The sequence below is a fragment of the Homo sapiens genome, chromosome 7 (genome assembly GCF_000001405.40).
Source record: "Homo sapiens chromosome 7, GRCh38.p14 Primary Assembly".
Taxonomy (NCBI): domain Eukaryota; kingdom Metazoa; phylum Chordata; class Mammalia; order Primates; family Hominidae; genus Homo; species Homo sapiens.
Genome location: NC_000007.14, coordinates 18,635,149 through 18,659,905, shown reverse-complemented (window position 1 = coordinate 18,659,905; position 24,757 = coordinate 18,635,149). Strand labels below are relative to the sequence as shown.

At 36.4% G+C, this 24,757-nt stretch overlaps 1 protein-coding gene and 1 long non-coding RNA gene across 40 annotated transcripts in view; one reads left to right on the top strand and one right to left on the bottom strand.

The window, feature by feature from the left end:
• The window catches only part of HDAC9 (histone deacetylase 9), a 915,592-nt gene that overhangs the window by 342,511 nt on the left and 548,324 nt on the right, over positions 1-24,757 (bottom strand). For 37 of the 39 annotated variants that reach the window (NM_001321868.2, NM_001204144.3, NM_001321869.2 and 34 more), the window contains 3 exons: positions 15,113-15,235; positions 11,908-12,121; positions 11,223-11,440 (listed from right to left, as the gene is read on the bottom strand). In NM_001321868.2, the coding sequence (NP_001308797.1) occupies positions 11,223-11,440; positions 11,908-12,121; positions 15,113-15,235 (555 nt within the window). Of the gene's footprint in view, positions 1-1,863; positions 1,975-2,918; positions 3,000-5,036; positions 5,144-11,222; positions 11,441-11,907; positions 12,122-15,112; positions 15,236-24,757 lie in introns of all 39 variants that reach the window. The other 2 variants (NM_001321878.2, NM_001321876.2) reach the window with 2 other exon arrangements.
• On the top strand, positions 86-6,776 carry LOC124901598 (uncharacterized). The gene is made up of 3 exons (XR_007060242.1): positions 86-169; positions 4,832-5,064; positions 6,670-6,776. It is a non-coding gene; the product is annotated as an uncharacterized LOC124901598 (long non-coding RNA).

Here is a 24,757-nt window from a genome sequence, read left to right as displayed (position 1 = left end):
CTTTGGTTGAACATCTGGAGGTGATCCCCTAGCAAAGTCGAGCTGTTGCCTTGTTGGCTAGATAACAGAAGACGAAACATCTGTGGGACAGATAAATGTGCAAGCCTGTGTGAATCTCTGCTGAGGCCTCATCTGTAAAACACACCGTGTGCCACTCGTCTGACACCAGGTGAGTTACTTCAGTGGGGAACCCAGCAGAGATGAAGAAGAGGGCAGCTGCACAGCTTCTCCTTTGCCTTTTGTGTGTGCTCATACTCATCTGTCAGGCTGTCTCTCTATTCTCTGTGCTACTGTATAGCAATTGGGCCGAACACTAAGCATGCCACGGGCAGCCTATGACCATTCTGAGTTTGTAACACACACACACTTACATATACTCAAACAGATGTTGTTCTGTGTGCCAGATACCATCGTAATTTATCCAAATTTCAAAAGTCTTCAAGGATTACAACTAAACTTCAATTCTTATCAATCCCTGCTCAGGTCATAATTATAGCAAACTCCTTAATTTCAGAATCTCACATTCCATGTTTAACATCATATATTCTATTGGCACATGATGAAAAATTCACTAAATAATAATTAAAGACTGTCACTAATGTTTATATGTTAGCACTTTAAGTTCACCTCTGTGTAAATTATATAACTTGATACAAGTCTATAAGTCTCTATAAGCATATGTACTTTTAAATAAAATATGCTTAAATTCTATAATTTTAATGTTTCCCACAGAAATCCTTTGCATCCCAACAAATATCTTCAGATACAAAATATCAACTAAGAACAGGATCATGTAAGAATAAATCTGTTCCTCATAAACATCTGATTTTCTGACATTGTCAACATACCATTAAATACAAGTGTTTGAATATGATTATTAAACTATGCAAAGTGAACTTCAATGCAACTCATCACTTTCTTATTTTGCCTCAGATTTTAAGACAGATTGTACTTGGGGAATGGCAATAGCAGAAGTTGTTGTTGTTGTTTTGTTTTTTTTTTTTTTGCTTTTTTTTTCTTTTAAATAAATGTAATATTCTTCCTTTGGAAAATAAAACATTTCCCTTAAGCTCCAAGGAAACTAGATTTAAAAATAATGATAAAATTCTGTTTGAATTCACAAATAGATTAGGTATGGACCAACTGTTCTCAAAAAACAACATGCAGAGCTTGGAGGGCTTTCAAATTGAGAGGTCTACTTGGAGTAGAACTCCAACCTCAAGCCAAAATAATACTCCATGTCATTTTGCTTCTGTGTATTTTAGGGAAGTAATCAGATGAACCAAAATTAAATAACAAGAGAAGAAAGATTTTCTAAATATTGGTTCATTATTCACACAAATTGAAGTCTAAACTGAAAAATACCATTTCTAAGCAATATTAAAGAGGTTCAAAATTAATCTCAGCATGAAGTGAATTTTTAATAAATGCTGCTTCATCTTTTTAACTCTAAATGATTGTCCAAAACAATGCCTGCAATTAAATTTTTTTTCCTCTGGTTCTCAAAACTTGCTAATATTTCAGTAACTTCAATAAGTGTTCCCTTCTGGGAAGGAAACTGAAGGTTTGTTCCAACTAGTTTGAGAACATTGCCCACCCATTTTTTCATTCTTCCAATAATTTTTTATTGAGCGTTTACTATATGCCAGGCCTTAGGAAAAGAAAGGTCAATCAAGCAAGATCCCAGCACACAGTAGGGGAGGCAGAAAATTAGCAACTGAAAAATGAAACTCGAAGTGATAGGGAGCTGAAAGAAGGGGTGAGCAGGTGGGTGTTTGTGTTTACTCTTGTTTGGATGGGCAATAAAGACCCCTCTCAACAGGTAAGGTTTGAGCTGAGACAGACCCCAAAACACAATCAAACCGTGAGAAGACGTGGAGGTTGAGCCTTCCACACAAAATAGTGGCTGGCGCAGCTCCTGGAGGTGGAAGGAGATTCCTCAAAGATAAGAGAGGGGGCCAGTGTGGCTGGAGCCTAGAGAGAGAGGGAAGGGAGGAGATGATGAAGGCAAGGGAGGAGGCAAGAATCAGATCATGACAGCCTTGTAGGCCATGTAAAAGTGTTTGGATTTTATCCTACAAACAAGAGGGAGCAAGTAGGGTGTTTTAACCATAACATGATTTGGTTTGCATTTGAAATGATCATTCTGGCTGCTATGGAAGACTGGATTTAGGGAGCAAAAGTAGAAAGAGGAAGACTGAATTTTCAAAACATACAATCCTCAGCAAGAGTGTGGAATTCTTAACCAAGATTTCTTGGCAGGGGTTGGGGCAGTGTTCTTAACTAGGACAAAAATAAGCAGTTTTCCCTTCTTTTATAGCACTGCATAATTTTATGTCCTTTTAAAAATTACCTAATAGGATTCTTTCCCTGATAATCTTTAGGATCCTTCAGGTGACAGTATACTTTCTGCCCAAGTTTTCCTCCTTTTCTCTTTAAGAGTAGAAAATAGAGGCACAGTGTGGAAAGGCATCCTTATTTTCTTTGCTAATCATTGATGATTTGGGAATGGGTCTCAGAATAGACAAAATCTCAAACCAATGAATCACTCTCTCCCAACTCATAAACATCGCCATTTCCCCCATTGATCAATTCCTTACTTTGGTAAACTGGAAAGCAGGGCAAACCCAATTAAACACAGTGACCAACAAAGGAAACAATCAGCAAAATGAAGCTAAAACCCACAGGATGGGAGAAAATATTTGCAAATTACCCCTCTGACAAGAGATTAATAACCAGGATATATATGGAACTCAAACAACAGGAAAAAAATCTAATAATCTGATTTTAAAACGGACAAAAGATGAATGGACACTTCTCAAAAGACATACAAATGGCCAACACCATATGAAAAAATGTTGAACATCATTAACCATCAGAGAAATGAAAATCAAAATTACAATGAGACATCATCTCACCCCAGTTAAAATGCTTTTATCCAAAAGATGGACCCGTAATGAATGCAGGTGAGCACGTGGAGAAAGGGGAACCGTCGTACGCTGTTGGTGGGAATGTAAATTAGTACAGCCACTATGGAGAACAGTCTGGAGGTTCCTCAAGAAACTAAAAATAGAGCTACCATATGATCCAGCAATCCTACTGCTAGGCATATACCTAAAAGAAAGGAAATCAGTATATCAAAGAGATATCTGCACTCCTATGTTTGTCACAGCACTGTCCACAATAGCTAAGATTTGGAAGAATATAAATACTGTATAAGATTTTAGTGGTGCTTATCATGTTTACAAAGCATTTTCAGATATGTTCTCTCATGTAATCCTCACTGTAAACCTCAAAAATTTGCTGTTTATGGAATTATTAAACAAAAAGGTTGAATATCTTGACCAATATTGCAAAACAAATAATTGTGCAAGACCTCAGAAACTTCTCTTGAAAAATCTATCAAGATGATAGATTTTGCAATTCATGTGAGCTATGCATTTGATAGAATCATATTTGATTATAATGATCTGTTTACAGGTCTTTGAGCCACTCAAGGGAAAGAACATGCCTTCTTTATTTTCATTTCCAGAATGAAGTGTAATGGTTGTTAATAGATAAGTCTTTGTGGAACATCATCAATTATTCCATGACCGGAGACTGTTGCAGGACTTTATATTGCTAGCTGATACAACTAGGTTAATAGCAAGAGAGCAGCAGTACATTTAAGATATGAGAGAATAGCTCTGGATGCAATTCTGCCTGCAGGAAGAGGAATACTCTAGACCAGATGACATTTCAGGGTCACTGTAGTTCCTCAGATTTCATAAGTAGTTAGAGGAAGAGCTGAAAGATACAGGAAAAAAGAACTAAAACCAGGAACTTGCAAGCTACCAAAATATGCAAAAAAAAAAAAAAGAGACTGCTACCCACTGGCAGTTTTCATGTCTACAAATCACTTAACTATATTAAAAATTCCTTAGCAAGACCTAATTTTTTCATTCTGTCACATGAAACTACTTGTCAAGGTTGGGAAACAACCAAATTATTTAGCTTCCCTTTCCCTTTGAACTGCCTGGAATCAACATCAATCAAACAATTCACGTGGTTTAATTCCCCAGATATTTTTCTTCCCCCCGTTTTCTTACCTCATAGTCATGTCCAACTATTGTTTTTCTCATTCAATAAAAGCGTCTCTGACTAGATTAACAGTGCAGAGTGAAAAGGAAAGGTCTAGGTCCCTTCCCTTGGTCTCCAAGTTATGAAAGCAGCACTGGGAATGTTTATGAATGCTGCACATTAATCCACTGAAATGGTCATTTTGTTTCTTTTCCAAACACAGGATTTCATCACATCTAATAATAAAGCAACAAGCCACTTTCTGTATGTTAGAAACCATCAACTTGTAATTATATAGTGAAATACATCTATATGAATTCCTTGTGATGATATAAGCTGGTATTCTATAAGTGGATTTTTTTGGAGACCTAGTACTACGTATTTAAAAGAATCTATTTATATTGGGCCAATTATCTCAGAATAACATCGATTTAAGGGTAACGTCAAAGTTTCTTTTATAAACCTCTATAGATAGATAAATAATCTAGGAGGCTTTTTACTGTTATAAAATTAAGACTGCCTTTCAATGCTTGCTAAAGTTTTTGGACATACTATCCATGTAATGGGCAAAATGTAATCCTAAATTGGTGATTAAAAGACCCTGCATGGAAACAAGCTGTCAAATGGATGGAGAGAAATTAAACCTGACAACACTAATGCCTACTTTCCTAAATGAAAGCCCAGTTCCAGTTTCTACTCATCCATTTTTCAAAACATAAAACAAGGCATTTTCCAACCACCCATAGATGAGATGCCAACATTTGCATTTCAGTTGAACCTGATGAAGTCGGTAACTTCCAGCTTCAGGCTTGCCCAGAACTTCCGTGAGAAGATGTTTGTCCAATCTAAAACAACGGCAATGTGACAACATGCGAGAAAGGAATGAAATGTGGCCTGGCTGTAGTTGGCTCTGTACTGCATTCACTCTGCACCGTTTGGAAAGCCTTATAATCCAACAGGATATCTGAATGTCTCACCGTCAGGTCCACGTGCAAAGACTGCCAAGTGAGTAACTTGAAGGAGGTCAATGTGTGTGAAGTTGGGAGGCAGAGCTGGGAAAGGGGATTTCTTCATCGTGGCAAATCTAAACCGGTGCAAAAGAAAAATAAGATCACCCTATTTTTTTTAATGTTTGTTTGCCTTGTTTTTAACTGTGAATTTTCTACTTTTAGACAAAAATAAAATTAGGAAAAGCCGGTTTCCTGCTTGGTCATAAAATAAGACTGTAATCATAAGCACAAATGATTAAGGACAGGCTTTTGTGTCATACAACCTATGTTAGGATTTCAGCTCTGCACTAGCCCTGCCACCTTGCTCAATCTACTTCAGCCCTGTAAAATTAATTTTCTTGAACTAAAAAAGAGTGAGTTGTTAAGGTTGAAGGGAAGATAGACGTAAGAATTCTGGTATGGAGTCCAGCTTATAGTAGATCCTCCATATAAAAGTGAGCTGATAGTTTTTAAATGACCCTACCCTAAGGTATCTATGGAGAAGGTGCTGAAAAGATGCACAGTGCCTAAAACAAGGGGAGGAAGAGGTACACTAGAAGAAGTAGGTGCAGCAAAAAGTCAAAAGTGGGTAAATGGCCCTTGTGTAATTATACTTAACATTTAATTTGCTTACAAGTAAGCCATGGATAGAATTACATTAGAATACAGCTAATATAAAGTATCTGTTTGAGAATATGAAGTATAACTTTAAAAAAATGTAAACTTTTGGAATACAGACACATGTAAAGAATTGTTCTTCTAATTAATCTCCTTCTCAAAACTTATACTTTTTTCAATAGTGCACAAAATAGTTCTACATTATAACTGCCTTCAGGGACACTTCACAAGGCAACACATTAACACACACACAGGCATGCATGCTATGTTTGTATGTGACCACAAGCATGAAGGAATATACTCTCTTAGGTTACTGTGGATGGAGGGTTGGGGACAGGGAATGGGTATAAATCAAGAGGATTTCAGAGAATATATAACATTCATGTTAGAAAATTATGTCAAAAAAGGAATAATACAGATACTACTCAAATAAACAGTCAAATTCTCTTCCAAAAGCTAATGAAAGCTCTCCATTTGCTCAGATCCAGCATTTGAGCATAATTATATTCATGCCTTGCTTGTCAGAACATAAACATAACATCTACCTGTTTTAATAAGGGCAACACAGTACATCTGCTTGACCTCACATTTACTGGTCTTGTCTTAGATATATTTTTATTATGATAAAATAGCACTCATGTCAAAATGCCTAAGTATCACAGTAATAAATATATAATAAATACTTATATCTAGACCGAACCTTGGCATATATAAGATATCATCTCATGATTTATGTAAGTTTTTAAAAAAGTGTTGGCTGATAGCCAGTCATAGGAATGCACAAGATATTTATCACAGAGCATATAAGAAAGGAAGAAAGCAAGAGAACAAGCGAGCAAGCAAGAAAGAAAAAGAAAGGGAGTGAGATATAATAAGAACAAGATAATCCAGAGAAGTAATTAACTCAAATTTTATTTCCTTAAAGATATCAGTTTTCTTTCTTATGTCTCCTTTCCTAATACTTAACACACTGTATTACTGGTTTTTTTTTTTTTTTTTTGAGATGGAGTTTCACCCTTGTGGCCCAGGTTTGGAGCACCATGGCAGGATCTCAGCTCACTGCAACCTCTGCCTCCTGGGTTCAAGCGATTCTCCTGCCTCAGCCTCCTGAGTAACTGGGATTACAGGCATGCACCACCACGCCCGGCTAATTTTCTGTATTTTTAGTAGAGACGGGGTTTCTCCATGTTGGTCAGGCTGGTCTCGAACTCCCCACCTCAGCTTATCCACCCACATCGGCCTCCCAGAGTGCTGGGATTACAGGCATGAGCCATTGCACCCGGCCTGTATTACTGTTTATTTCAATAATTCACTTCCTGCTCCCCATCCTATAAGCTCCATGAGGACACTGAAGGTTGTTTTCTTAGTGCTTAAAACTGTGTCTGCACACAGTATTTAATGATTTGTTTAACGCATCCATACATAGATTAATAATTCATTAAAGTAACTACTAAACAAAGTATGAATTTTCTTAAAATTCCTGCTCTTATGGATTTAATGGAATGAATATGAAAAACAGATATTAATAAAGATATTAATATTCTAGTTAAAATAGAAACTGCTAGGCATGAATCAGTGCAATTCTATTAATACTATAACAGAGAAATAAAGAATAATGTTGTCAAGGGGATGGGGCATGGCAGAGATCTATGTCAAATTACCTCACAACAAAAATGCCTAAAGAGATTTTGAAAATTTTCTATATATCATTCAAATAGTGAAGTGACTAGAGATTTGCCCTTTTATTTTTTAGGCAGTGCTTAGAATACTTCTTTAAAATCATCAGTATGTCTAAACAACTGTTACGTATTCTGTTTTAATCAATTACAGTTTTATTTCACCAGAAAAAAAATCCTGTGGTAATATTTAAACTTGAAATGGGCCCAGGAGAAAATTACCAATACCTTATTACTTTTTGTTTGATATTTTGTATTTGAGGGAAGTTCTACTTTAGAAACTCTTTTTTCCTCCAATCAGAAAAGCAAGGTGTACTGGCAAAAGCATCAGTCTTCCCTTGATGCTGGTATAAAGAAACTCTTGATTTTTTGAAAAGGTTCTTCCATGGTATTGGGGAAAAATGATATAAATGAATGTGCAATGACATCATTGCACAAAAATATTAATACCATATATTAGCAATAGAACCTGTTTAATGCATTTCTGATTTGTAAAATGTCTCAGAAAACAAAAGATCAAATGTTGTAAGCCTTGATTTCTTTATGATTAAACTTCTCAAAACAGTTTCAGTGAAAAATAGAATATTCAAACTCATGAGCAGAGATAAATCATTCTCACAGGGTTTCCTCTCCAGCCCAGCACTCTCCTTTCTGACTTTCCCCATTATTTACTGGCAGATATAACAGTATAAATACTATACAAGCCCATTCCAGGGATATTTCTGCTAAGCCCTTGAACACTTACACCGTAACTGTAAGAGGCAAATAATCTTAGAACACACAACTATCCCACAAATATCCCAAATATGATATTAAAGTATAAGGCAACAAGTAGGTAAATTATTTTGTATGATTAATAACAGTTACATTATGTAGTTACACTGAACATGAATATTTTATAAACACATTAAAATAATAGCAAGATATGAAAAACTCTTTCAAATTTAATAAGTCAATCCTTGCATCACCCATGCCCCTAAAACTATATAGCTTTGTTTCTAATTCTTCTAAAGATTATTAGTAATTCAAACACATTACTACAAATTTTATACCAGGAAGCCCATCATATTTAATCTGATACAGGTTTAGAAATAATCCTACTTATATTTTCTTGTTCCCACTTCATTTTTTGTTTCTCTAAATTCCTCAAAAAAGAATCATAAAAAGGAAATAAAAGAAGATATATTTAAATATGTCATTTGTATGTCAACATCTTCATGTGTGCCTGTATTTCCTGCTATAAGTATCTCAAGAGTAAGGACCATCGCTTCAGTATGAATGGGTTTCATAAAGGTTCATCCATGGAAATGGGGAAAAATGATAAAATTTCTGTGGTGATTTCTTACTAATGGGCATTCTAAATGGTTAAATCAAGTATACAGCAATATATTATACAGAAACATGTTAGCTTTGGGCATCTAAGTTATGAATCTGACCCAATGTGAAATAAACATCCTTGTCACGTCACGGAAGCAGGTGAACAGTAGCCACTCACTTCTTAAGCGTTCTATTGTGAATATTTCAGGATAGGACATGGGTTTGATATTTTCTTTAATAAGCTTCCTCTCTGTCCCCTTAGACAACTGAGGGCAGGTAAAATATTTTCAAAATCTGGAGAATACCCAACGTGAATATGCCAACTTGATGAAACATATGGAATACATCCTTGGAGAAAAGCCAACTGGCGACCTGCTTGAGTCATCTAAACACCCAAGCTGAGAGAGGTTAACATATAAAGATCAGCTTTGGACTTTGAAGTTTTCTGGTCTTCATTTTGCCTAATTAAGACAAGATTTAATAATCAAACCACTGTACAAACATGTACCTAAAAGTATAGGTTTGTTTCTAATTCTGGGAAGAATTCTTAACAGATTCAAAGGAATCAGCTCCACATGGGAAAAGGTCTCTGATAAGATTTGCTTTTCTCATTGCTAAAATGCAAATGCCTGCTTTTCATCTGAGTTTTATCCAGTGTGACTGAGGTTAGCATTCGCCTGTCAAAATCTCGAGTTTGATACTGAAAAGGAAAGATTCTGATATTAGCACACCATCTGAATCTGAAACAGTGGCAATTAGTTAATAAAAAACTGTATTCCAAAATATTCTTAAAGGTATTCATAGAAACCATTTGTGGATCACAATTTCAAAGTGAGTAATTTACCTACTTTACCATAGTAAAATATATACATCCATGTGTTTCTAGGAAATAGAACCAAGCATAGCAGAAAAGTCTATCTACTATCTAATACTGGTTTTATAAACAAACCTAATTCTAGATCAAAACACTATATGGCAAAAAAATACGATCCCTAATCTTCCCTCCCACATACATTTCTTGCACTAAACAGTGGACAATTTTTCAAGAATACCTAATAATTTTAAGTTGTGCTGAAAGGCCACAAAACAAATAAACAAACCTAACTCTACCATAATATAGAAAACATATGCAGAGTCACATACAAGTCAGTGAGTATTATGCCATTAGTCAGAGAAGGAAATTGGCTCTCTCCTGAAGATACTGATTTGATATAAAATAATTTGATATGAAACCGAAATATTTGCTAAATTTAGAGAAGTGCTACAGCAATAAAATAGGCATTATCTAATGACACAGAAAGGGTCTGCAATGCATACTAAAAGGTTAGAGAGAGAGTTGTCCCTGCCAGCCACCCCATCTCTAGCACCCCAATCCCACACATACTTTTGCTACTTTGAGAGTAGCGAAGGGCTAGGCTGGAAAACTTTCTGTTCGGAAGCATGGTATCCAATCCATGCTTCCTTCATGGCTCTGCCCTTGTTACGATGGAGGCCAAAAGAAGAGAAAAACTCCAGCAACACTTGCCATAAAACCAGCAAGTGATGAAGATCCCTTTCCCCTACTGCCGTTAGAAAGATGATTAAGCCTCTGCCCATGAGAGTTTATTTTGTTTTGTTTTGTTTGTTTCTTACATCATAGTACAACAAAGTTATTACTAAGCCAGGTTTTAGCTATCCATTTATCAGTAAACAAAGTATCAGTTTGCAATATCATGCCTCTCATGCCTCTGTAACATAACTTGTAGATGATACAGCACAAAGGCAAGGGAATAGAATTTTAATACTCAGGACCTTAATATTTTCCAGGAATTTTCCAGGAATGAGAAGATGGTGCTTTTTTAAGCCTACCACAGCAAAAAGTAGTGGAAAAACTGTCCAGACCAGGTTCTTTAATATCATTTTGCTTACGAATTCATAGAAAATCCTTTACTGGCCTGTCTGATATTATGCTGCAATCACTGTTTCTTTGTAGTTGCCTCAGCAGGAGAGCTCCTAAGGATGTGGTACGGTACAGACATCCGCTGTCTATTTTAGCAACATTAAGACTTCCAGGAAGAAATGATCACAAGTTTCCGAGAAACTACTCCAAACGCTTATTGGAATGAAGTGGGGCATTCGCAAAATAAATGTAACGTAGATGCATACAAGTTGCTGAGAAGTGCCTTACTGGCTAATCTTGGCCTATCTGTCATCACCTGTACAAACTTTTTGACATGTCAACACACCACATTCAAGTCTGCCTCAAACTTTTTCTGCAACACTAAAAAATGAGGCTCCATATACATATGCCCGTATGGGCTTGTGTACCAAAATATATACCTGATCATAAAAAGATCTTGTGAATGTATCATCTCAATTTTGCTACAAATGTCTTATGAACATAATGGTGGTTAAAACACTGATATTGTGATGGTGTCCTTGAGCCAAGAAAGCAGGCTTAGGATGATCACATCCTTTTTGCTGTGACTCCCATCAACATTCCTCTTAGACACCCATATCAGTGAAGAGATACCCAATTTCCAAACTGGCGGTTAGAACATTTTGACTTGGCTTGGAGGCTTACTTTGTTCATGTGGATCTGCTGCTGGTATTGCTTCTGCTTCTCCAAGAATTGCTGGTGTTGCTGTTGAATGACCAGCTGAGCCAACGTGCTCTGAGGCAAAGGTGCAGACTGGGTTCGGTTCAGGGGTCTGTGACGGGGCAATTTGTGGGTACCTCTAATGCCAGGTGAAATTCTCTCTTTTGTTGCCAAGGGAGACTGAGGATGTAAGGGAACTCCACCTGAAAAAAAAAATACATGTATATGTGTGTATACACACACACACACACACACACATACACACACACACAATTTTAAGAAAAGATAAGAAGCCAAAGAAAACAGATACATGGTATAAACTGTAAGAAAATTAGTGAATTAGTGATGCTACCAGGCAAACAACAGAAGAATAGGTCAGGTGTGGGAAGAGAGAAATGTCAAGGCATTGGACAGGTACGCATCTGACCATACGACTCACCACAGCCTAGTCTGGTATGAATAAAGGTTAAATGAGGTGAGTCCTCCTACCCCAAGTGGATCTGAAGGAATAAATAAAGATGATAGCCTTTCCCACAGTACCAGGTATCAGGGAAACTTTTGTATAGCACTGTGGATCTCCATCAGGGTCTTGAGTAAAAGAGACATTATCCTGGATCACTAATAAAATAAAACCCTAAAATGACCTGCAAATGGTGCCATAATGAATTACCAGCTACAAGAAGCTTTTGCTGTCGCATTTGTTCTTTCAATAATAAATGCTGCAGGAGAGCCTGGTGGCTGCTGTTGGGTGGCTTTCCCTCTAAAGTAACATGAGGGTGGCTGGAAGATGCCGGGATGCTGCCTCCATACTGCCCAGGCAGAGGAACACCTTGCCTAAGCGTCTGCGTCTCACACTTCTGCTTTTCTTTGAGTGAATTCGAAGCCTGTGTTGAGAAATAACAAAGATGTTAATCCTCTTTCATCCATGTGGGTCACTGGGTCTCTAAATCATTAGACAAGTTTCCTATGCTGTAGCTTCCCAAAACAAAAGCCCCATCTTACCCAATGGCTGAGCAGGGAAAATGGACTTTTTAAACTAACTCAGTTCAAAAAAGAAGGAATAAAAATAGGGTTGGAGCACTGAAGACAATTTAATATTGTCATTGTATTGAACATAAAAAGGTTTTATAATTAAAATCAGAAGTGATGCTACATACACAATTTTAGGTGGAAAGAATAAATTCAAGAGATCTGTTGTACATGATGATGACTACAGTTAATAACAATATATTGTACATGTGAAAATTTCTCAGAGAATAGATTTTCAGTGTTCTCACCATAAAAAATAAGTATGTGAGACAATGCATATGTTAATTAGCTTAAGTCACTCTACGATGTATACATATGTCAAATCATTATGTTGTAAACCACAAATATATGTACCTTTTATATGTCAATAAAAAAACAAAAAATGCTTATTTCAGGCTTAATAAGTGGAAAGTACATTTCTAAAATATTTTATACACTGTTTAAGTTAAAGGCATACTGGAGAGGTAAAATTTATTCAAAGACTATATCATGGGGATTAAGAAGCTGGAGATAAGATGGACTGTAATTTTGGAGTTGCAAGCAAAAGGAACAATTTACCCTTTCTCTACATGGCTTCTAATAATTTCACAGAGCTGTAAGTGTCCAATGTTTAATTTTTTAAATTAAATTCTTAAAATAACCCAATGAAAGGAGGTAAAAATATGCAGAAATTTGATTTAAACATTTTATATTAATTCATAACAGATACCCAAATCTCTAAATATTGAAAATGACACTCTAGATATTTTGTATAATAAACTACAAAAAATGCTATTAAGAACTTGAAATGTATGATAACACAGTAATAAGGCAATAATAATTATATCATCAATAGCAATAATGAATTATCCTATTCAAAGGATTTAATGAATGGTGGTCATTTTGCTATTACAAAAGCAGGACTCTAATACCTCAAAATTATGTGGCATGTTTCTTTTCAAAACTCATGTTTCATCTTTCAAAATTGCTGTGCACCAGGGAGGCGAAGCAATTTTCAGCAATGGAGAAACTGAAGGACAAAGAGGTAAGTGGTTTGTCTGAGTCACACAGTAAGTCAATGCAATGTTTAATCTAGAAGTGATTCCTTGTCCTGGCCTCTTTTCCTTAAAATTTCCCAGTATTCAATGTAGAAATGGAGTACTACAAATCCCGTTGGCAAAGCAATGCTAAACTTGAAAAATTAATTGTGATGGCCTCATCCACACCAAAATGGAAGCAAAGAAAAATGAAACTTTAATCCAAACCACATTGGTTTATTCATCCAATGGTACCAAATCGTATTACCTCTGAAACATTAACTGGTCTGGCTTTAGTACTTGGTCCTTTGGGAAAAAATTTTCCCTGACCACATTAAAAGTGGTCCATGTGTGAGTTATTGAGAGGAGTGGCTTAGAACATACAAAAATAAGTAAAAATAAAATGCCTATTCATGTGTCATAAGAAGTTTTTGGGTTGGTATTTACTTATCATTAGAAGAGACAGGAAATAGAGAAGGAAAAATATTTTTTAATTAGTGATAACTGTAAAATATTATCCATGAATATTTATTTTTAGTTTCATTCCTAATTCCTTTTTTTGTTTTTCATTTACAAATGTTTCATGTGGAATTTTAAGAGCATAGCTGAATTCTGTATTTTCAATGCTTTCTTTTATAATCCCCAGATATAAGACAACATCCAAATTTTGTTTTTTCCTCATTGGTATAAGAACACAGTACCACATAAAATGACATTATAGTCTATTGACAATACCAGATATAATATCTCTTAGGTTGATTTTAAAATACGCATTGAAACTATGTGTTGAACATACAAGTGAACTTGACACATTCAACTCAGTGGAAGACTTGAAGGTAAAGATTGGCCAAACTGGTGATGAGAGTTGGAATAAATTTCTCTCTAAACCTAATGTATCATATGACCCCTGTATATATACAATTTAATTAACTAACATTTCAGAGATGAATTATTCTGGATAAGGCCCACACATTTTTTACAACTAAAATTGACACTGTTTCAGGGAATATGCCTAGAATAATTATTGCCATCTTCTGCTAGTATGACAATAACATTTCAAGTTTAGCTCTGCTTTGGCAAAGAGATCTCTAGTATTCCATTTTCTCTGCTGAGTACTAGGAAATTTTAAGGCAAAGAGTCCAGAACAAGGAATCACTTCTAGGCCTTCATGTAACAGTATGATACAGTGACTGCTTTCTTCCCGAAAGAGCCTATTTCAGTTGTCAGGACTTTTAAACTAATTGATTCACTTTGAATCTTCTGGGAATAGTTTAATATTTTTCTTAGAGAGTTTTTCCAGATACATATTCGCCAGTACCAGAGAGTCAGTAACTTAAATTCCCAAAATAAACTCATTCACAAAATAAATTCTATAAACATATGCTGCTGTGCTTTCGAAGCTGTAGCTCTCAGCACTGCCCTGGCTTGTGTTCCAGGTCTGCCACTTACTGGCTCTGTGATCTTGTGCTTTGAAACTCTCCAAGTCTCAGCTTCTCCTTCTGTAAAAACGTGGGCTGTAATCTCTGTTTCACAGGATGGCTGTGTGGAGCTATTAAAATAATATATCTGGAAAGTGCTTTTTTTTTAAAAGCTATAAACCATTATACAAATGTTAGTTATTATGTTTACATATGATTATGTGAACCAGGATAATTCTGACTTGAAATTAGACTGAATGTCTTTGAACAACACAGCAAATAGCAAACAGTGAAGGAGATGCTGGCTCTGTCAAGTTTTTCTAAAGTCTAAATACATAAAACACGAAAGAGAGTTCCCCTGTGAAAAGATATTGCTTAGGTTGATTAAGGCTGATGCTGTGCAATGACTTACATTGAGCTGGGATGGCACTGCGGGAAGCCCCAAGGTAATGTTGGGCAAAGAAGGAGAGGTATAAAGACTTAGCAGGTTCATGGAATCTTCATGAATTAGAATGCGTTGCTGTGAAACCATTTGCTGTTAAAAAAAGAGGAGAGTCTCAAAATACCACAGTATCACAAATTTTACTGTAAAATGTTCTCATTTCAGAAAATGGGTCTTACCATAATTAAGAAAAGATTTTAAGTATTTATTTTATGACTTCTATATCCAAAAGTTATAATGTCAAATTTAAATAAAAAATTTCTTCCAAAGACATAGTTATAAAATCTGAATAAAAGGCATCTATGTTCATTTTTTGCAAATTCATTTATAAAATTCTGGCTATACAAAATATGGTCAGCATGTTTGTCATCTGCTGATAAAGTACAATGATAAAATTGGATAATTCTGATTAGTATGTCTACTTCTTTTGTATTACTCAGTGAAAAAAATATGTATATAATGCCACCACAGTCATTATCTTCACCTGATTCTTCATTTAATGTCATTTTATTGATGGGAAAACTGACCCAAGAAAAATCTTAGATTAAATATCACCATATAGGGCTTCCATAGTAATCACATCTTTTTTACTTATAAACATTTATGAATAGACAATTCTGTGTGGTGTATTTTTAGATCATTCATATTCAGAAACTAAAGTAAATGTTAAAATGTTATGAGTCCTATGCCACAGTAGGCTTCATTTACATTGAAATACCCTGAACGTTTTGGCATCACTGTGCTTTTTACAACAAATACCTTTTTTTTAATCCATTACTAAGAGTCATGTTTTCCCACATGTGGCCTAATATGGTTGCTTGAATTACATTTTCTGTTTAACTCTTGCCTCCCTCCCAGAACTTTTATACAATAAGAGTTACAAAGGTCTTATTAGACTAAGGAACTCTGGCCTGATATGGTCCCCAAGGGAACAACATCCCTGAAAAAGAATACTCCATGTAACAGTATGACACAGTGGCTGCTTTCTTCCCAAACAAAAAGCATATGGGACTCCAATAATAGACCACCTCCAAGAGGGATATTGCACACACGGGCTTTGACTAAAGTAAATATAATAACTTGTCAAGCATGTTTGGGGGAGCTGTAGATTTTCCCCTGGACAAACCTGGGATATCAATTAACCGGGGAAAATATCATGTGCTGATACAATGCAACCTCAGAATGTCACTGAAGAGTGATGCACCACCAAAACACAGGATGTTATTCCAAAACATCATCTCAATCATACGTTTGTTTGGAGATGAGTCTTAGTCTTAACATAATAAGAGCACAAGGTTAAATGTGGAGTTTTCTCATTGCAACTTGGAACTCAAAGCTAGTTCAGATTTTGTTACTTCTTAAAGGAACATGTCAGATATTTGTGCATGAAAACCAAGAGGTATGTTGAAAGCAATAACATTACATTGACTTTATATGCAGCCCTTTAAAAAATTAGTTGTCTAAGTGACATAGCATGAAGATTGTTGGGAAAGATTTTAAAATTACAATGTGTGGGGTTGCAATTTTATTTTATGAGCTATCAGACAGAGTTGCATACTTGCTGTACACAAAAAGGCAAGCTACTCTTTTACTCATACAAATAATAAGCTTTTCACGAAAATTGTAAGTATAGAATACCTGTACAAGAACAAAAGGAACATATAAGGAAGTAAAAATATTTTAACTAGCTTATTGGCAGTAAATAGTAATTTAAAATAAAAGGATATGTTATTCACTTATCTGTATTCATTGAAGAGAAAATAAGTGTGGAAAAATAAGCATTTTAAATAGGGCATAATATTCATTCAAGGTTATATCTGCTTCTCACAGCACTAAGATATGGACTAGGGGATTTGACACGGACTGGGAGAATGGCACAAAAAATACCATAGACCTCACAAAAGAGTTTTCTTTGTTTCCCAGAGAGAATTTCTGTGATATCCTCCCACCTCATCACAGGAACCAGACTTAAACTAAAAGGAGAAATAGATTATCTTCTCAGACGTAATAATGGCAGCAACACACTGGCTCCTCACACTGGCTTTGACTACAGTGAAGAGATTTGGGGACAGTCTTACTCTGGGATTGCAGATCTTTGTAGTTTCCTATAAAACTTGAGTGGCTCCATTTCCTCTGGCAGTGTACTGATATTCAGCACCTACCATGGTGTCCTGGGCCAGAATTTTTTGGAGGCTAACCTATTCTTCACAGGCACTCTCAAGCTACCATTATGCTCATGCTGTCGATGAGGAAACTGAGTCATTTCCCCAATTTTGCTTCCATGTGGGACCAGCAACAAAACCTTTAAACTGACCAAGGCTATGAGATTTGTTGACAGCTGCTGCTACAGGGAGTATGACTCTGCAGCCACTGCTGGAAGACAGGGGAACCACAGAAAAGTAGGGAGAATGGTGGTGGCTTTGGAGGAGAAGAGGAAGCAAACTCAGGCTCTGAAGCTCATGGCAGGAATAAAGGAGTGCAACTGGGAGTCAGGGGACTTGGCACAAGAAAAAAGCTCCGGTGACTTTATAAATGTCAGGATCTTCAAGTCATGGAGACAATTCTTGATGAAGCAAGGATGGTTCTGTGTCCCCCATATCTACTAGGTATAGTTGGTTCTTCCCAAAGACTCTTAACTGGTATGTCGTCTTCATAGAAACTTTACAGACCGGGACATTGCTTAGCTTATCTCCTTGGATTACAGATAAGGAAACAGGCATAGCATTTATGTAGACTTTCAAGGTCTAGGATGACTTCAGAGAAATGAAAAACCATTTCCCTTGAATTATTTTCTTTAAATACAGCTTTCCTCAACTATGCTTTTTGATCGGAGCAGTCTATCTGTTCCACGTTTATCTCTTAATAAGACCTGGAGCCATAGTCTACACTGCTAATTGAGTACAGACACACTTTAAAGTCAGACTAACAGATTGGGAGGGGTACCATTCACCTGACACAATGAAAGATCCTGACTAGCATTCTTGCAAGGCTGGAAGACCATCCCACCTTAGCATTGCAGTGAGCTCACAAGTGTTTTCAGACAAAGCCAAGATTTTTCCAAGAAGAAGTTTTGAATCTGGCCCAGCCCTTAAATCAGTGCTTTGCTATGATGCCAATACTTTGCAGTTTAGAACATGGAAATGACGGTTTTAATCTGAAAATTTTTCAGAACCAAAGATTTTTATTGTGGTTAGATAAAATGAATATAGTAAATGTATGAATGGCTATTGTTTAACCTTCACAAAACAATTAACGGGTAACTTCTCTGTCTTAGATTAATGGTGTTGGGTGCAAGGCGTACAAAGATGTCCTATAAAACACCAATTCACATGGTAGTTAGGTGCACAGAAAAGTAAAGAGCTAATTCTTTGACTTGTGATAATTACTGTAATTAGAGGAAGGAGCATTATGTTGGGACATGAGATATGAAATGGGCCAAGTGCTGGGGTAGGGGTGGCCTACTCACATTTTACTAAGGCTCTTCAAAATCTTATTTAATTTCTCTCCTGTTATGTCAATAGGAGGGGCATCTCATAAATAATATTTGTAATTCAAATGAATACAAAACACATGGACTGGAACATTATGCCTCTCAATAGAGCTATTTATGTGGAATTTAAATTAAGCCACTGATTTCAATTAAAAGAGTGAGAATGTCTTCCAGAAGGGACACTGGGTATAATTAGAAAAATGGACAATGTCAACTGCCACAGGGATTCAGAAAGGTAAAAACTCTCATATGATGCTGGTGGGACAGTAGTCTGGTACAGCAATTCTGCTGAACTTTAAACCAAAATAATTATTCTGTATACCATGACCCAGTGATGGCTTTGCTGGGAATTCTAACTTCGAGAAATTATCTCATTAAGCTGTAGGATGATGGGCCATGGTATATATTGAAGGGCACCAGGACATCTACCTCGGGGCATCAGTACGCGGCAGCACCCACGATGGATTTTTGTGGTGATTGAAAGCACACCATTGGACTTCTGCATCCATAAAGACATGGTGTCTGGATGTAAAAACACAGGCTTAGTGATAAAAGCAAGAAAATGGAATGATGCAGATAACATTGTGCCATTTATATCCCATTAAAACTCATGGATGCAAAGTAAAAAATATATATGATGTAAAAATTCATATAAACAAGAACACGGGAGAGAATGATGCCTCCAGGAGCAAGGAAAATGAAAGTGGGGAAAGGAGATGGAGAGAAGGAACCAAGGAAGGAGGGAGGGAGGCAGGGAAAAAAGGAGGAAGGGAAAGAGAAGAAGATAAACAAATACTTTTCTTACTCTTAAGAAGACAAAAAAGTCAATGATAGCCCTTGACAGAATGCTAGTTATACTAGTTATGTAAATAATTACCTACTTTTCCTTTTTTTTTTTTTTTTTTTTTTTTTTTTTAAGACAGGATCTTGCTCTGTCGCCCAGGCTGCAGTGCAGTGGTGCGATCAAGGCCCACTGTAACTTCAAACTCTTGGGCTCAAACTCCTGGCTAATGTTTGTTAGGTTTTTTTTTTTCTCCCTGTAGAGACAGGGTCTTTCTATGTTGCCCAGGCTCGTCTTAAACTCCAGGCCTCAAGTTATCCTCCCACCTCAGCCTCCCGAATTGCTGAGATTATAGATGTGAGCCCCCATGCCTGGCCAGTAATCACTCACATTTTAAAAAGCTCACAGAAATGTGGATATAGAATTTTCAGTTTACTGTATATTCCAAATTATCTACAATATGCATGAGAATCAGAAAAAGAAAAAATATATATATACACACAGAATTTTGGTGAGGAGCAGCCTGGACTTGTGAAACGAAGTCTGGCCTAAGTGTCTTATACTTGAGCTCTCCCACTCATAGCTTGTAACCCTGGGCAGCACCCAACTTCCCTGGACTTCAGAACCTTCAGCCTGAGACTGAAGCACCTCTGCCCAGCTCTATCAGGTAACATGTGTGTCTATTAGAATGGCATACAGGAAGACATCCTTATGAGTGTCAATCAGCTTTGGCTTTACAAGGTCCCAAGTCCCTGAATCCAGGCTATCTAAAAAGAACATAGCCACGTTTTAAAAAAGAAAAGCCTCAATCATTTAATATTTGCCTATGGTTTTCATGGGATTTTTCAAGATTGTATTTATTTTCTACTCTTCTTTCAGATAGCTCATAGAAAATTAAAATCTCCACGTAATTAAAAAAATTGTTGAAGCAGTAGAAATCTCTCAAGTTTTCATTTTACTGGACACCAAAGAAGGTGTTACTATAAAATGGTGAGACATATTGTGAGACCAAAAAACAAAAAACAAAAAACAAAAAAAGAAAGATCATTTGACAGAGTTTCCTTAGCATTTGAAAGGCACTGATGTTTTGTTAAAGATCTTACTTTAAAATATTGACTCATGTTATTCCTAGTAAATGATTATTTTGTCATAGCAACCTCCTTTCCCTGAATTGGGGGTGGGGGGAACGTGTTTTATTTGCTGCTATCTAAAACCACAGCTCTACACCCACTCAGAAGGGAGCATAACATTTACTGCAAATGTCACAACAACTATTATGAAACAACAGGCAGATGAGTCATGTGAGATTGGGGCAAAACAAGTGACATTACAGATGATTTTAGAACACTTAACCTTATTATTAGAATCCTTTTTTAAAAGCATTTGTATCTGCTGGAAAATTTATTTTAAAAAATAGCATAGCAGAGACAGCCACTAATGTTCAACTAGAAATAAACCAGCAGCTTGGCTACCGTTAAAATAGCTATCAAATAAATCTACTGAATCTAAAGTAATAGTGTTGATATCCATGGAAACATATTTGAACCCACAGGCCCACAGTATTAACAATAAAGTAACTAGATAGGTAAAGACATCCTTGACTGGAGTTGGAAATAGAAACCCCTGAGGTTTCAGCTCCCCAACCAAGTTTACAAATGAGTAAAGCAAGTAGCTCCAACAATCTGAGTTCTGGGACTGAGCATATGTAGGAAATAGAAGAAATGGAACAGAAGTGGTCAGAGCAGATGGAGACTCACTCTCACATGAGAGCTGCTGGCTTGAAGACAAACATGCTAATGAGTTTTCCCTACCAGGAGTCAGCGCTGATAATAACAACAAAAAATGAACTTGTTCCGAACTTCACAATTTACCACCTGCCTTCCAAACACTGATTCCTTAAAACAAAGCTGCTAGTGTAGGTATTACGGTACTACCTTCTCCTAGATCAGGAATCTGGGGGTCAGGGGAAGTCTGACAACTTGACCAATGATGACAAGGTAGCCGGTTTTGGAGCCAGGTTCAGGCTGAGTCTTCTGAATGGAACACCCATACATTCTACTACAATGTGCTATTTCCTGAACCTCAATTTATGAGTAAATTCTCCTCCTACTTCTGTCTTCCCTTTATCTAAATTAGGCAGGACATGTGAATTACAAGATAGAAAATTTTGTTTTCATCTAGGGCTCAAGATCTTTAGATATAGCCTGACTTTCCTACTTCTGAAGCAGCACAATAGGATAGAATCCCATTCATTTACATGGGCTCTGAATTAGGTGACATGCTTTTCTACTTACAGGCCATAAAATAAAGACTTCATTCAAATATACACTACTTTAATACGAAAACTTACCAGTGTTGCTTAAGCAAAAACAGTAAAATAAGCCAATTTTGTAAACGGTAAAGTATGCAACCATTTTTTTAGAGTGCAATATATTATGCAAATAATTCATACCCCCAAAATATTTGTTGCTATGAAATCCCGTACTACTATCAATCTTAGGAGACATCTGTAAAAATCATCCTAAATTCTAAATGATGGTTACTCAACTATGGCTAAGAAATTTTTTTTTTCTTTTCTCCAGTTTGGGTGGAAACATTTAGTGCTAAAAAGCTAGGATATTAATTTGCTGACAGTCTTAGTCTAAATTCCGCTGTCTCCTCACCTATCGAGAATGAATTACACCATAGATCTCTGTAAATGCAATACAGCAGAAAACCACATGTTAGCCATCAGGGTTGCATTTTTTGTTCTGGGCCACAGAGAGGCTACTCATCAGTGCATAAAGGTCTGCCCACCTGGCCTTTTGGATCATAGTTCAGGCACACAATTAATTCATTATGAGGTAAGTCACTGCTTGCTTTTGAACTCGTCTTTCCAGATTTGGAGGTGAATGTCCTGTCACTGACCTGAAGAAATACCTCTACCCTTTTAAACTCCATTAAATCACATTTCCCTCTGTTTTGTTTTGTTTTTCTTTTTTTAATGGTGGGGGTGAAAGGAAAGGTTTGCAGTGAGAGAATATGTTCAACAATTAGCTGAAAAGCTAGGGTACCTAAACAGATGATTTGTGCCAAGTTATGGCTTTAGAAATATAAAACAGATTAAAACAGTATAAGCAAAATCTTTTATTTACTTTCTTCACTGATGTATACTTACTGGTTGTTCCAATATGTTGTACTAAATACTATATGCACATACATATGTATTTACAATGAAGGAATATATGTATCTTCTTTAGTAACTATCAAATCATGTTTTCCCCCTTCTTCCCCCCTGAAAGGTAATCATCATGCTAAATTTTGTGTTCATCACTCTCTCGCCTCTTAAAAATATACTATTACTACATATTATCAAAGTATGGTATTACCATTTCTGAACCTAATAAAATCCTCCCATGTTGTAAGTGGTCTTCTGAAACATTGCAATGACAATGCATTTCTCAGAATCATACATGCTGCTGAATGTAGTCTAGTGTGTTGTTTTCATTTTTCAATGGCACAAAATCCATCCAGGGACTGATTAGAACCCAGATCCTTTGCTGTTTTTGCAGTTACTAAGAATTACACTCTTCATACTGAGAGATAACAACAATCTAAAATTTTTTGAAAAAAAAAATTGTAACCAAGTTGTTCTTTTCCTGGAAATTTACTAAATAGTTGCAGAGAATGGACCAATATCCAGATATAACTGCACTAACAAAAAGATGCTATCTACAACTAATAACCCAATAACTCCACTTATGTCTCTGGCTGCAAATATAAACAAAGTATTTATTCCATCTGCTATCATGTTTTTGAAAGGATAAAGAAAAAGATAAAGAGGGGTAACAGGATAGTAAGTAAGAAATAGATGCGGGACCTGAAGACCATGTAGAGGCCAGAATTACTATTCTTTAAATAGCTGAAAATGGTCAAACGACAGCATCTAGATATTTTGCTCATGTTTCTTGGAAACTTATTTGAGGGAAATTTTTGAAATCTAGAAGGAAGGTATATTCCTCCAGGGGAGTTTTTGTTTGCTTTGTGCAGACTCCTAACGTGGGAACTACAAATGTGGTGCCATGATAAGTCAAGTTAACAGCTTGAGGTTATATGATTTGGGCTACAGATCTACACAAGGACTAGCTTGTGGTTACGACATCTGAGAGAGAGGATCTGCCCTCTGCTCTGTTCCACATCAGACAGCCCAGGGCAGGGGGGGCTGGCAGGGGACACAGCAGTAAGAGGGGCAGTCAACTAATCAATGTAACATAGATACAGGCCTCTGGGGTGTCAGCTTAGTGTTTGCAGGATCTCCTATTAGATTATCCTCCCTGGTTGGTACTAGGCTTTATCTTCTATCTCTTGAGTTTCTGAGGCCCTGAAAACCAAAGCTCAAAACTCAAGTGTGCAAATGTGCCTAGAGCAAAACTGACTTTACTGGCTTCAGTCCTTTGCTCATCAGAGACAACTTCTGGATTTCTGCCTTCACTTATTATATTCTGACCTGATAATTTCATAACTTATAAATAATTTATTATACATATCATATTGTGTTTGTGTGTATAAAATATATGAAATTACAGAGCAATAGCTGTACAGAGACATATCAGTCAAAATAACTATTTAAAATCAACTGGGTTGCCTCAGGAGACAGTGAAGTGAGCTCCCTATAAGCAGAAGTGTTCTAACAGAGGCTGGATAACCACATGGTAGAAAAGCTATGGAGATGATCCAAGAATAAGAGACTTGACCAGTCCCTTTCTGTCTCAAGGTACCATGACTCTATAAAATATAACAAAAGAAGTATGTTATATATTAGAAGTTAACGCACCAGCTCTCCTTGCACAGAGCAATGCACAGTGAAGAAGGCATAATAACAGAAACAAAAATAAGGCTTTCAGTCAATTGTTGATGACTTCAAAACAGGTGATTTCATGAGTGGCTATTTTCAGACTCTTGCCTTTGATAGCCTTATACAGAAACTACATAGACAAATTCTTGCTGACTTTTACATTAACTTTCCTCTTAGTCTTGTATCATTGGTTACACTAAATCATGTGTTACTTTAAACTAATATCCTTTAATATGTCATTCTTCAAACATAGAGTTCATATCTTGTCCATGTTTATATCCCTACTGTGAGGCAAAATGACTTGAATATAGCAGGTGCTCAAAAAATGTTTGCTCAGTGAAGCTTCACACCCTTCAACTATAATACTGCAATTATTTTTCATCACTTTTCAGTTCAAATGGATAAAAATCCACCTCGCTAGGTTCTTCCTCTGAGAGGCCTGTACGAGTTGTTTTTACTTACTGATGTGTCTACTCACATCGGCACAACCAATAACCAAGCAGAGGGACT